Below are 12,049 nucleotides of genomic sequence, written 5' to 3' on the forward strand. Positions count from 1 at the left end.
GGGGCTGAAGACTGAGGTGCAGCCTCACCCCCGGCCTGGCAGCGGCTTGGAAGAGAGAGGGAAAGGAGGAACATCTACCCGGCTAAGAGACGCCGCCAGAGTCCCTAAAGCTGGCGGGGGACGGAGGCCGGGGTCCCGGATCTTCAGAGCGCCCGCAGCCGGGCTTCTGGGCTCCTCGGTGCGGGGAACCTGACCCTGTAGCCTTCGCCAGGGCGCGGCGGGGCTGCAAGAAGGGAGGAAGGAGTGGGACTAGAGCCTTCGAGGGCGCGGGCGGCGTGCACTCAGCCTTGTCTCCCCGCGCGCCCTGCCGCCTGCTTGCCCCCTTTGCTGCACCGGGTGGCCCTGGTCCCCGCGCCCGCCCGCCCCCGACGCCTTCGCGTGGTTCCGCGCTGCCCGCGGCCAGCCCCGTTTCGCTTCGCAAGGAGCGTGTTGTTTTCTCAATCGAAATGGGATCAAGATCCCAGGGTTTCCTCGTCTCCTTGTTTTGAGGTGATAGGATCTTAGCCAATAGATCGAAAACGTGAAAAGTACCCGTCGCCTCTTGTCCCAAGTGCCTCTGTGGAAGGATCATTTACTTGGAAAAGCAGAATAAATTCTGTTGCCGTTTTCCTTCCGGAGGCGTGCTCACCCCAGAGCTCCTAGACCCACTGGCATTCGCTATACTTCCTCCTGGGCTTTACAGGTAGGATTTCAAGAATGATATGGGGGCACCTGGGTGATCTGTGGGTTGCAGGTCCTCAAGAGGCCGTTTTTTCGTGCACGGAAGTGTCGTAGCTTTATTTTAGCGGAAGCAATATCAAACCTTATCTTAGAGGTTTGTTTTGCAAAGAATCCAGAGTTTACTATATTTGACACTATTTTAAAATAACACTTGCTTGTTTTAAGAAGTTGGGAGAAATCGATAAAAGAAAAGTTGAAATCCATGCTTCCCATTTCTACTCTAGGAGATAATCCTGATCAACAGTTTGGTTTGCTCCCTACCCCCATTCCTTAAAAACAAACAAACAAACAAACAAACCAAAACCCACTATACTTTTAGATTGTGTAGGATTACGTAGGATTTTGTAAAAATAAAAATGGGATTATACTTCACTCGTTTCTGCAACGGCCTAGCTCCTACTAGTAATCATTCCCTATCAGTATAGTAGAATTAACCTTATTTTAGTATTATCATTATTATTTTGAGACAGGGTCTCACTTTGTCACCCAGGCTGGAGTACAGTGGCATGATCTTGGCTCATTGCAGCCTCTGCCTCCTGGGCTCAAGCTGTCCTCCCGTCTCACCACCCGGCCCCTTCCCCTCAACTAGCTGGGACTACAGTCATGCGCCACCAAGCCCGGCTAATTTTTGTATATTTTTGTGGAGACAGGTTTCACCATGTTGCCCAGGCTGATCTCAAACTACTGAACTCAAGGGATCCACCCACCTTGGCCTCCCAAATTGCTGGGATGGCAGACCTGAGCCACCACACCGGCAAATTTATTCTTTATAATGGTTGCGTGGTACAGAATTTCCATTTTATAGGTGTGCTCATAGTTTATCAGCCTCCTCTTGAAAGGTATTTAAGTTGTTGCCAGTTTTTCAATACTTCTGGCAGTGTACAGAAACACTGATACAGATACATAGTTGTGCTACTGTGCCTTGTAGAAGAAATATCCAGGTGTGAAGTTGCTGGATCAACAGGTATAAACACTGATCATTTAAACAAGTACTTCAAGACTGGGCGCAGTGGCTCACACCTGTAACCCCAGCACTTTGGGAGGTTTAAGTGGGTGGATCACTAGAGGTCAGGAGTTCAAGACCAGCCTGGCCAACATGGTGAAACCCCATCTCTACTAAAAATACGAACATTAGCCAAGCATGGTGGCACAAGCCTGTAATCCCAGTTACTCGGAGGGCTGAGGCAGGAGACTAGCTTGAATCCAGGAGGCAGAGGTTGCAGTGAGTCAAGATCACGCCACTGCACTCCAGCCTGGGTGACAGAGTGAGATTCTGCCTCAAAAAATACAAAATAAACAAGTACTTCAAACCATACCAATTTATACTTCCTCCAGCAGTGAGGGCAAGTGCCTATTTCTCCATGCTTCATCTAATACCGAATATTGCCATTCCTTTTTTTTTTTTTTGAGACAGGGTCTCACTCTGTCGCCCAGGCTACAGTGCACCTCAACTGCCCCAGCTCAAGCGATCCTCTCATCTCAGCCTGTCTAATTTTGTGTTTTTTGTAGAGACAGGGATTTCACCATGTTGCCCAGGCTGATGTCAAACTCCTAAGTTCAAGTGATCCACCTGCCTCAGCCTCCCAAAGTGCTGGGATTACAGACATGTGCCACCACGCCCGGCCTTAAATTTTTTTTTCTTTCATAGAGACAGGCCCTCACTCTGTCACTTAGTCTGGAATGCAGCAGCATGATTGCGGCTCACTACTGCCTCCAACTCCTGGGTTCAAGCAATTGTCCTGTGTCAGCCTCCCCAGGAGCTAGGACTACAGGTATGTGCCACCACACCCGCCTAACCTTTTAATTTTTGGTAGAGGCGGGGGTCTTGCTATATTGCCTAGGCTAGTCTCAAATTCCTTGTGTAAAGCCATCCTCCCACCTCAGCCTCCCAAAGTACTGGGATTACACGTGTGAGCTACCACACCTTGGGAGTATTGCCAATTCTTTAAAGCTGCCTGTCTTTCACATAAGAAGTAAAATCGTATTCTAATTGCCTTTTAGTCATTTACATAACAAAGTTTCTTTTGAATGCCTGCCTATTGATGAGCCAGTCAGCAAGCCAAGCATAGGGAATACAATTGTGAACAAAGCAGTCTTGATCCCCTTAAAAGCCTAATGAAGAAGGTCTGTATGTGTGTGAATACTTGATGAATGAGTCACTATGAACTGCAATAAGGAGGGAAGAAAGTGTAGTACAAGTAACGAGCCTCAGTCTAGGCTGGGAGTACAGGAGGGTTCTCCCAACCTATCAAATTGGAAAGATGTGTAGAAATGAACTTGGTGAAGGGGATGAGGACAAGTGGTACTCCAGGGCCACAGAACCCTTGGTGCTAAGGCCTTAAGCCTGGAGGAAGCTTGGCTGATTCACAGAACTGGTGCCAGGAGACAGCTTGAGGTTGGAATGTCAGCAGACACCAGGTCTTGCAGAGAACACTTGCTAAGATGTAAGTATCCTTACAGCTTTACTTCCAAGTATTCACCAAGAAGTAGTAAGAAGTCACTGCAGACATCAGCATACTTCATCACTAAAGAACTTCAGCATGCATATCATTAAATCAAATTCAGCATTTTGTTTATGGTTCTTTTTTTGAAAGGTAAAATTTACATATGATGAAATGCATGTATCTTGGCTGTACCATAAATTTTGACAGTTGATGGCTGGGTGCAGTGGCTTATACCTGTAATCCCAGCACTTTGAGATGCCGACGTAGGGAGGTCCCTTGAGTCCAGGAGTTGGAGACCAGCCTGGGCAACATGATGAAACTCTGTCTCTGCAAAAAAATACAAAAATTAGCTGGGCATGGTGGTGCATGCCTGTAATCCCAGCTACTCAGGAGGCTGAGGTGGGAGGATGGCTTCAGCCCAGGAGGTGGAGGTAACAGTGAGCCAAGGTGGCACCACTGCACTCCAGCCTGGGTGACAGAGTGAGGCCCTGCCTCAAAAAAAAAAAAAAAAAAAAGTATTGACTGGGTGCAGTGGCTCACACCTGTAATCCCAACACTTTGGGAGGCCGAGGTGGGTGGATCACTTGAGGTCAGGAGTTCAAGACCAGCCTGGGCAACATGGCAAAACACCATCTCTACAAAAAATAGAAAAATTAGCCATGTGTAGTGACATGCCAGTGGGAGGCTGAGGTGGGAGGCTGAGGTGGGAGGTTCACTTGAGCTGGAAAGGTGGAGGTTGCAGTGAGCTGTGATCGTGCCACTGCACTCCAGCCTGAGCTACAGAGCGAGAACTTGCCTCAAAAAAAAAAAAAAAAAGAAGAAAGGAAAAACATTTTGACAGTTGTATAAACAAGTGTAGCCTCAATCCCTATCACAATATAGAATTTAACACCCCAGAAACGCCTTCAAGTCACTTCCCAGGTAATCCCTGTTCCCATTCCCTCCCCCAGTAACTGTTCCATTTTTTTCTTCTTCCAGACATGCGGTTTTGCCTGTTCTGACTTCCTGTAAATGGAATTTTATAGCACATGCTCTTCACTATATATTTCAAGAGGCTTAGCTCTTTGATAGGGGAGAAGCTTTGAGGCACCCCGAAGAAAGCAAACAGCAACCATATTTATGTCCCACCACAGGGGTAATTATTGGAAACCCATTTAGAGGAGTTCAAATGGGCCTTGAAGTTTGGTTCCTGCCCATGCCCATCTTAATGGCTTGCTTTCGCCAAGAGTATATACTGACAGCCAGTGAGGCGTGCCTGGTAGGGACAGTGTTGTCTGCAATGGCAGCCAGTGTGTCCCTGTGTTGGCGGGTGGTCCCACCTGGGACCTCAGCAAGGCCCTCTCCACTGGAGAAACTCTGGTGCTTCCAAGAAACCATCCTGGGAACACCAGAGAGTATCTTCATGTATTTACCTCCAAATCTGCCTCAGTACTTTTTCTTTGATATGGAGGCCCAATTTTAGCATCCTGTAATGGCCGCCTTGAACCCCTCCAAGGTCATGGAATTTTTTTCTTATCTCGATGGACCAGTATTTTTGTAAGGGCCCCCTGTTTAGGGTAAGTGATCAGACAGGGCATTTCTCCTAGCATCTAGATCATTCTAGACCTAGATACTACCTATTCCTTGGGTAGCATTAAGGTATTTTGAAGTTCCACCTTGATAGGAATCCCCACTGAAGTTAGACAGCCTCATTGTTTCCAGAGCACCCAGACTTTATAAATGACCCCAAGACTAATCTGTCTGAGCATGCTAACTCTCTTCTCTCCAGCTGGCTGGCAGGCTCCAGTGAGAGCAATCGCTTCTGCCATCTGGGCTATAACGATGCATATTCTAGGGGTGATTTGAGATCTGTTATGGCAAAGTCAGACTGATCATATCCTGCCTCTGTCTGCAGATCTGACCCATCAACAATCAGGGTCAATTATGGACTCTCCAAAAGTATTTCTATTACATCTGCATGGGGCTTGGACAAATGCCAGTTTGGCATTTTTTCTTTTGAGATGGAAGGAGCATGGCAGAGTTCAAATAACCACAGTGATTGACAGACATATGTATAGGGAAAAGAACAATATTTCTTTTTTCTGTCGCCCAGGCTGCAGTGCAGTGGCGCAATCTCAGCTCACTGCAACTTCGCACTCCCAGGTTCAAGTGATTCTCAAGCCTCAGCCCAGGACTGAGCTGGGACTACAGATGTCCACCACCAAGTCTGGCTAATTTTTTTATTTTCAGTAGAGACAAGGTTTTGCCGTGTTGGCCAGGCTGGTCTCGAGCTCCTGACCTCAAGTAATCCATCCAATCCCAGCACCTCCCAAAGTGCTGGGATTACAGATGTGAGCCCCCATACCCGGGCATTATTGCATTAGTTGTTCTTTCTTCTCCTTCTTCTTTTCTTTTTTTCTTCTTCTTCTTCCTCTTCCTCTTCTTTCTCTCTCTTTTCTTTTTCTTTCTTTCTTTCTTTCTTTCTTTATTTCTTTCTCCTTCCTTCCTTCCTCCTTTCCTTTCCTTTCCTTTTCTTTCTTTCTTTCTTTCCTTTCAATGCAGTCAAGTTTCCTGTATCTGGGGAAATTTCAAGGGTCAGCACATCTGGAGTGCAATGGATAAGCCTCATCCTGGGAAAACCACCTTCATGATCATGGAATCTTCCTGGTCAGGTAAGTATATTGTAACAATATTTCATAGGATGCAAGGTGGCTCAGCTAGAAATGTTGTCCATTTGATTAAGTAGCAGTGATTATACAACTTGGGAGACCATTGGGTTCATGAGATCCCAAAACTAAGTAAGCAGAAGCCTCCCCGAGTTGACAATGACTGCCATTGCCTTGAGACAAGGTAGATAGGCCTTTGCCAGTAGAGTAGGGAGCAGGGACATTACAGTAAACCATGGGTGGTTTTGTTTTTGTTTTTGTTTTGTTGGTTTTGGGACTTTTTTTGGGACAGATTCTCACTCTGTCACCCAGGCTGGCTGGAGTGCAGTGGTGCAATCTCAGCTCACTGCAGCCTCTGCCTCCTGGGTTCAAGTGAGTCTCATGCCTCAGTCTCCCGAGTAGCTGGGATTACAGGCACCTGCCACCACACCCGGCTAATTTTTGTATTTTTAGTAGAGACGGGTTTTCACCATGTTGGCCAGGCTGGAACCCATGGGTGGTTTTCTTGTCATTGAGTTAAAACCTCAAGGACCTGAGCAGATCATCTATGAACCTGGAGAAATGTTTATGGTAAGTTAGAGCAGTCAAGGATGGGGTTTGTTGAAGAGCTAGCTCTAGCGTGTAAAATGTCTGTTCATGCTGTGTTCCCAGGAGAGGCAAGTCTGTCACCAAGAATTTAGTCGGGTCCTAAAGAAGAAGTAATTGCAGAGAAGTTGGGAGCTCCCTGTCCACAATCCCTCATGAGACGTAGCAATTAGTTTTCAGTGGTGAGTTTAGGGCAGTTCTGAGTGGAAGTTCAGTCAATCAGAGGGAAGAGACTTGCCTGAGACAGATCATGATCTAGATAATGAACCTTTTTTCTGAAAAAACTTCAAGTTTTTTGAGCACCTGTGTCCTTTTGTGCAAAAATAGAAGGTAGAAAGAATTCATTTTTAGTGCTTTTCTAATCTTCAGAGATTAGCAAAAGCTCATCCTATAGAAGAACTTTAAGGTCCTTGAGATTCTGATTAAGAGCTTATTTCATTTTATTTATTTATTTATTTATTTATTTATTTATATTTATTTATTGAGACAGGGTTTCACTCCATCATCCAGGCTGGAGGACAGTGGTGTGATCTCAGCTCACTGCAGCCTTGACTTCCCAGTTTCAAGCAATCCTCCCATCTCAGCCACCCGAGTAGCTGGGACTACAGGTGTGTGTCACCACACCCAACTAATTTTTTGTATTTTTTGTAGAAACGAGGTTTCACCATGTTGCCCAGGCTGGTCTCAAACTCCTGGCCTCAAGAGATTTGTCCGCCTCAGCCTCTTAAAGTGCTGGGATTACAGGGGTGAGCCATCACCACGCCTGGCCTAAGAACTTATAAAAAGTAAGGAACCACAGTGAATCTCTGAGGCATAACAATCCACATGTACTGTGGGTTCTCCTAAGGACAGGAGAACAGGCATTGATTTAAGAGAACAAGTTCGCTGGGCGCCAGTGGCTCACGCCTGTAATCCCAGCACTTTGGGAGGCCGAGGTGGGCGGATCACGAGGTCAAGAGCTCCAGACCATCCTGGCCAACATTGTGAAACCCCGTCTCTATTAAAAATACAAAAAAAAAAATCAGCTGGGCATGGTGGCACACACCTGTAGTCCCAGCTACTCGGGAGGCTGAGGCAGGAGAATAGCTTGAACCCAGGAGGCAGAGGTTGCAGTGAGCTGGGATCGTGCCACTGCACTCCAGCCTGGGCGACAGTGTGAGACTCTGTCTCGAAAAAAAAAAAAAAAAAGAAAAAAAGACAGAGAACAGGTTCTAAAGAAGGAAGAACATAGATGCACAACTGTGAAATAGATGGCCTTGGGCGGGACTGGGGGAAAGAACAAAGTCCAGTATTTGGACTTGGCACTGCTGGAATGTGGGGAATAATTATCTTAACGATATCCCTAAGATCATGAATAAATCTGCGCACTCATGCGTTGAGTTACCTAATACTCAGGATAGGAGCGTGAGAAGGTTTGGTCCAAGGAATAATGAGTCTTTTGCCTATTAGTCCTTCTACTATGGGCCTTAATTTTTTTCTTCTGGCTTCAAGGGAATTGTACAAGGCTGGGTGAAGGTTGGGACCTGGTCAGTCTGAACCTTGATGTGCTCAGCCCCAGTAATCCTAAAATGGTGATACATTTTTGGCTCATTAGGACTTGGTACCTCACAAAGATCTTCAAATTGTGTCTGGTTTATGTATCTGTATCCAAATTAGCTATGATTTGATTATGAATAGAGACACCCTCATGAGTTTCAAGGAAGAGCTCCCTTCTAGGAAAATTTAATCTGGTGATTCCATTTTCATAATAAAGACTCCTCATTAAGTTTATGCTGGTGTGATGTCACAAGAGAAGGGTGTTTTTAGTAAAAAGACCAAGAATAACAGTGGCCAGGATACAGGGAGTGGCCAGGCAGATGGAGACATCCACCTCTTGGTTTTTGCTGACTCCAAGGACAAGAAGTGAACTTAGTGGCAGGGTTGTTGTTGAAAATGTTGCACCCCTAACCCTGAGTGTGGCCCAGAAGAGTTAATGATATCTTCTTGCAAGTTTTAAGGGAAGACTCAGAAGTGGATGCCATCTTCTCTCTTGGAACTGTCTCATTATCTGTCAGATTCCTTTTTGCCCAAAGTGAGACAATTGGTTTTCCATCGTCTCTTTTGTTCAGAGTAGCAGCAAGTATTCTTATCACTGGGCATTTTGCTGGGGGGGATTGTGGAGGTTGTGAGGTCATCCAGTTGTTTAATTTGAAAAACCGTTAAGTTGTTTAGGATCTTACTCTACTTTTGTTCTAAGAGTTTCTCAGAAGATTTGGACACATGCTATAGGGCTGTTAGTGGAGTTATTTCTTATTCTAGCCTTTAAGTACCAAACCCCTGAATTTTGGCTAAAGGCCGTTCATAAGCAATGAGGATAATGTAGCAAAACATCTGCCTATTGATCTATCCCAGACTGTTGTCTGAAGGTGATTTCTAAAACCTTTTCTTTTTTTTGAGACGTAGTCTCCCTCTGTCACCCAGGCTGGAGTGCAGTGGTGCAATCTCACCTCACTGCAACCTCCGCCTGCCGGGTTCAAGAAATTCTCCCACCTCAGCCTCCTGAGTAGCTGGGTAATAGGCACCCAACACCCTGAATACAGTTGGGGTTTCACCATGTTGGCCAGGCTGGTCTTGAACTTCTGACCTCAAGTGATCCGCCCGCCTTGGCTTCCCAAAGTGCTGGGATTACAGGTGTGAGCCATCATGCCCAGCAATTTCTAAAATTTTTAATGAATTTGCTTTAAAAAAAAAATAAAAAACAAACACAAAAAAACTGGATTAATGACCAGAGAATCTCTACTCAAAATAAAGTAGGTATTGCCTTCAGTAAGGATTGCACTACATTTTGTGCTTCTTAAAAGTCCCTTTCTGTTTGCTGGTCCTCAGGAATACATAGATTATTTCCCAGGTCCTTCCAGTGGACTCTTTAAGGTAGGGTTAGCATCTAGATACATGTACTAGGTGATGTACATCAGGGAGATTGGGACCATTGCTTCCAAGCACTATTCTAGATTCTCAGGTTCTTCATATCGGTCATAAAAGGCTGACAATTAAATATTAAACATTTGCTACTTCCCCCTTTTTTTGCTCTTTTGTTTTAAGATGTTCCTAAAATGGATAATTTTGGTCACATTTAAAGTTCCTCAAAGTGGTCATTTGGTAAATTGTGTCACTTTGTAAGATACGCATAAGAATAACAAGAATATGTTTAAAGGCTGGGCGCAGTGGCTCATGCCTGTAATCCCAGTATTTTGGGAGGCCGAAGTGGGAGGATGGCTTGAGACCAAGAGTTTAGGCTAGCCTGGGAAACAGGAAACCCCTGTCTCTATAAAAAATTTAAAAATAAGCCAGGCGTGGTGGCGCATGCTTGTAGTCCCAGTTGCTTGAGAGGCTGAAGTGGGAGGATTGCTTGAGCCGGGAAGGTCGAGGCTGCAGTGAGCCATGATTATGCCATGGCATTCCAGCCTGGGCAACAGAGCAAGACTCTGTTTCAAACAAACAAACAAAAACAAAGAATATGTTTAAAAAGTGAGTATCCAGGCCAGGCATGGTGGCTCATGCCTATAATCCCAGCATTTTGGGAGGCAGAGGCAGGCGGATCACCTGAGGTTGGGAGTTCAAGACAAGTCTGGCCAACAGAGTGAAACCCCATCTCTACCAAAAAATACAAAAATCAGCCAGGTGTGGTGGCGCACACCTGTAATCCCAGCTACTCAGGGGGCTGAGGGAGGAGAATTGCTTGAACCTGGGAGGTGGAGGTTGCAGTGAGCCGAGATTGCACCAGTGCACTCCAGCCTGGGCAACAGAGTGAGACTCTGTCTCCAAAAAAAAAAAAAGAAAAGAAGTGAGTATCCAGGAGGCATGGCATGGGCTTTCTTGGACTGAGACAACCCCTTGAGAATTGGTAAGGACCAAACCTGCTGCTTGTGTACTTCTGATCTCAGCCCACAACCAGAGGTTAGCTGCCTTTGACCAAAGAACTGATAACTGCAGCCCCTGATGATCAAAGTTTTTGGAGACTTTTTTTCCCAAATCAGTTCTTAAGGATAGCTAGGGGAATAATAGACTTCATAAGGTTTTTAGATGGTTACCCAAGGCAAACTTCATCTACCGAGGGAGACTGGTGTGACAAGACCTTACACTTGTCAGTCCTTTTGTCATGGACGCATTGGGACTCTGTGGATTGATCATTTGTTGCTTTTTTTCCATGTCATTACACAATATAAGAAAGGACAAGATAAAGATAAGGTTAGGCAAAGAGCATACTTCCACCAAGAATCATTAGAAAGATAGGTCTACTCAGAAAAGTGGAGTTTCAGTGGGTAAAATATGATTTTCCTGAGAAAACTAGCCACGTCAATGAAATTGGAGCTCACACTTAGTGTGCGGCTCCCCTCTCTGCTGAGGCCAGAAAATGCAAGCGGAAGAGAGACCAGCCCTCACCCCACCCCCGCCACCACCAGATGCCCAGATGCAGAGTCCTGGCAATGGCAGAGAGTCACAGTTGAGTCTCCATGGGACCTCCAAATTGTGGAATCATTCCTCCTTAAATAAACAACCTGTTATGAGATAAACAAACCGTAAAAACACCCACATACAATCCTGAAATGGGAAATGGGTGTGCTTTTTTTTTTTTTCCTTCTTCTTACAGGTTGGGTTGGGAAGCTCCTGAGATGGGATATCAAACCTGGAATGACTCTTTGGTTGATTCCTCAAGGTCATGGTTGATATAACCGAGGTGAGGTTCTACTTGAAGAAAGAAGTGATACTCGAAGCACAAAACATTGTACAATTATAATTCCATAACCAACAGAGCTATCATTCTGCTTCTGTCTTCCACAACTGATGGGGGGTGTGTGTTCTGATTCACAGTAGTGACAGCCAAAGCCATAGGTAGAAAAAAAATCATAACCATAAATGATTTTAACATTTTTTTTTTTCTCAAGACAGAGTCTTGCTCTGTCACCTGGGCTGGAGTGCAATTGTGCGATCTGGGCTCACTGCAACCTCTGCCTCCTGGGTTCAAGCGATTCTCCTGCCTCAGCCTCCCCAGTAGCTGGGATTACAGTTGTGCACCACCACGCCCTGCTAATTTTTTGGGTTTTTTTAGTAGACACGGGGTTTCACCATGTTGGCCAGGCTGGCCTTGAACTCTTTACCTCATGATCCGCCCGCCTCGGCCTCCCAAAGTGCTGGGATTATAGGCGTGAGCCACCATGCCCAGCCAATTTTGACATTTACATAGAATAGAAAATAAACAAAATCAGAATTCAAGATAAGAATCTAGAGAAAGAATGACTAAATACACTTAATGAAATCAGGAGGAAAGGATTTATTTTAAAAAAAAATCCTAAACTTGATGGATTAACAAACTAAAAATAAAGAAATTAATAAATAAAACCAAGAGCTGCTGCTTTGGAAAAATCATTGGAGCTGATACACCTTTGGCAAACATAACCAAGGAAGGAAAAAAATAAACAAAAAACAAGAAATATACAGCAATAGTAATGAGAAAGAAAACATATCCATAGATAAAGATAAGATTAAAGTAATGATTAGAGAAGTCTATGTAAACCTCATGTCCAGTAGAGACAGATAAACATAGAGAACTTTATTTTTATTTTTTCCAGACAGAGTCTCACTCTGTCTCACAGGATGGAGTGCAGTGGCAAAATC

The 12,049-nt window shown here is 45.1% G+C and overlaps 1 pseudogene, besides 1 other annotated feature; it reads right to left on the reverse strand.

Annotated features, from left to right (window-relative positions):
* Nucleotides 1,842–2,688: an enhancer, noted in NCBI's record as "OCT4-NANOG-H3K27ac hESC enhancer chr8:70986286-70987132 (GRCh37/hg19 assembly coordinates)". NCBI's record gives its function as "activates a minimal SCP1, AML or CMV promoter by ChIP-STARR-seq in primed H9 embryonic stem cells {active_cell/tissue: H9 hESC(primed)}" and the evidence as "EXISTENCE:reporter gene assay evidence [ECO:0000049][PMID:30033119]".
* On the reverse strand, nucleotides 5,697–5,823 carry RNU1-101P (RNA, U1 small nuclear 101, pseudogene; annotated as a pseudogene).

Source organism: Homo sapiens, chromosome 8, assembly GCF_000001405.40.
Source record: "Homo sapiens chromosome 8, GRCh38.p14 Primary Assembly".
Classification (NCBI taxonomy): Eukaryota; Metazoa; Chordata; class Mammalia; order Primates; family Hominidae; genus Homo; species Homo sapiens.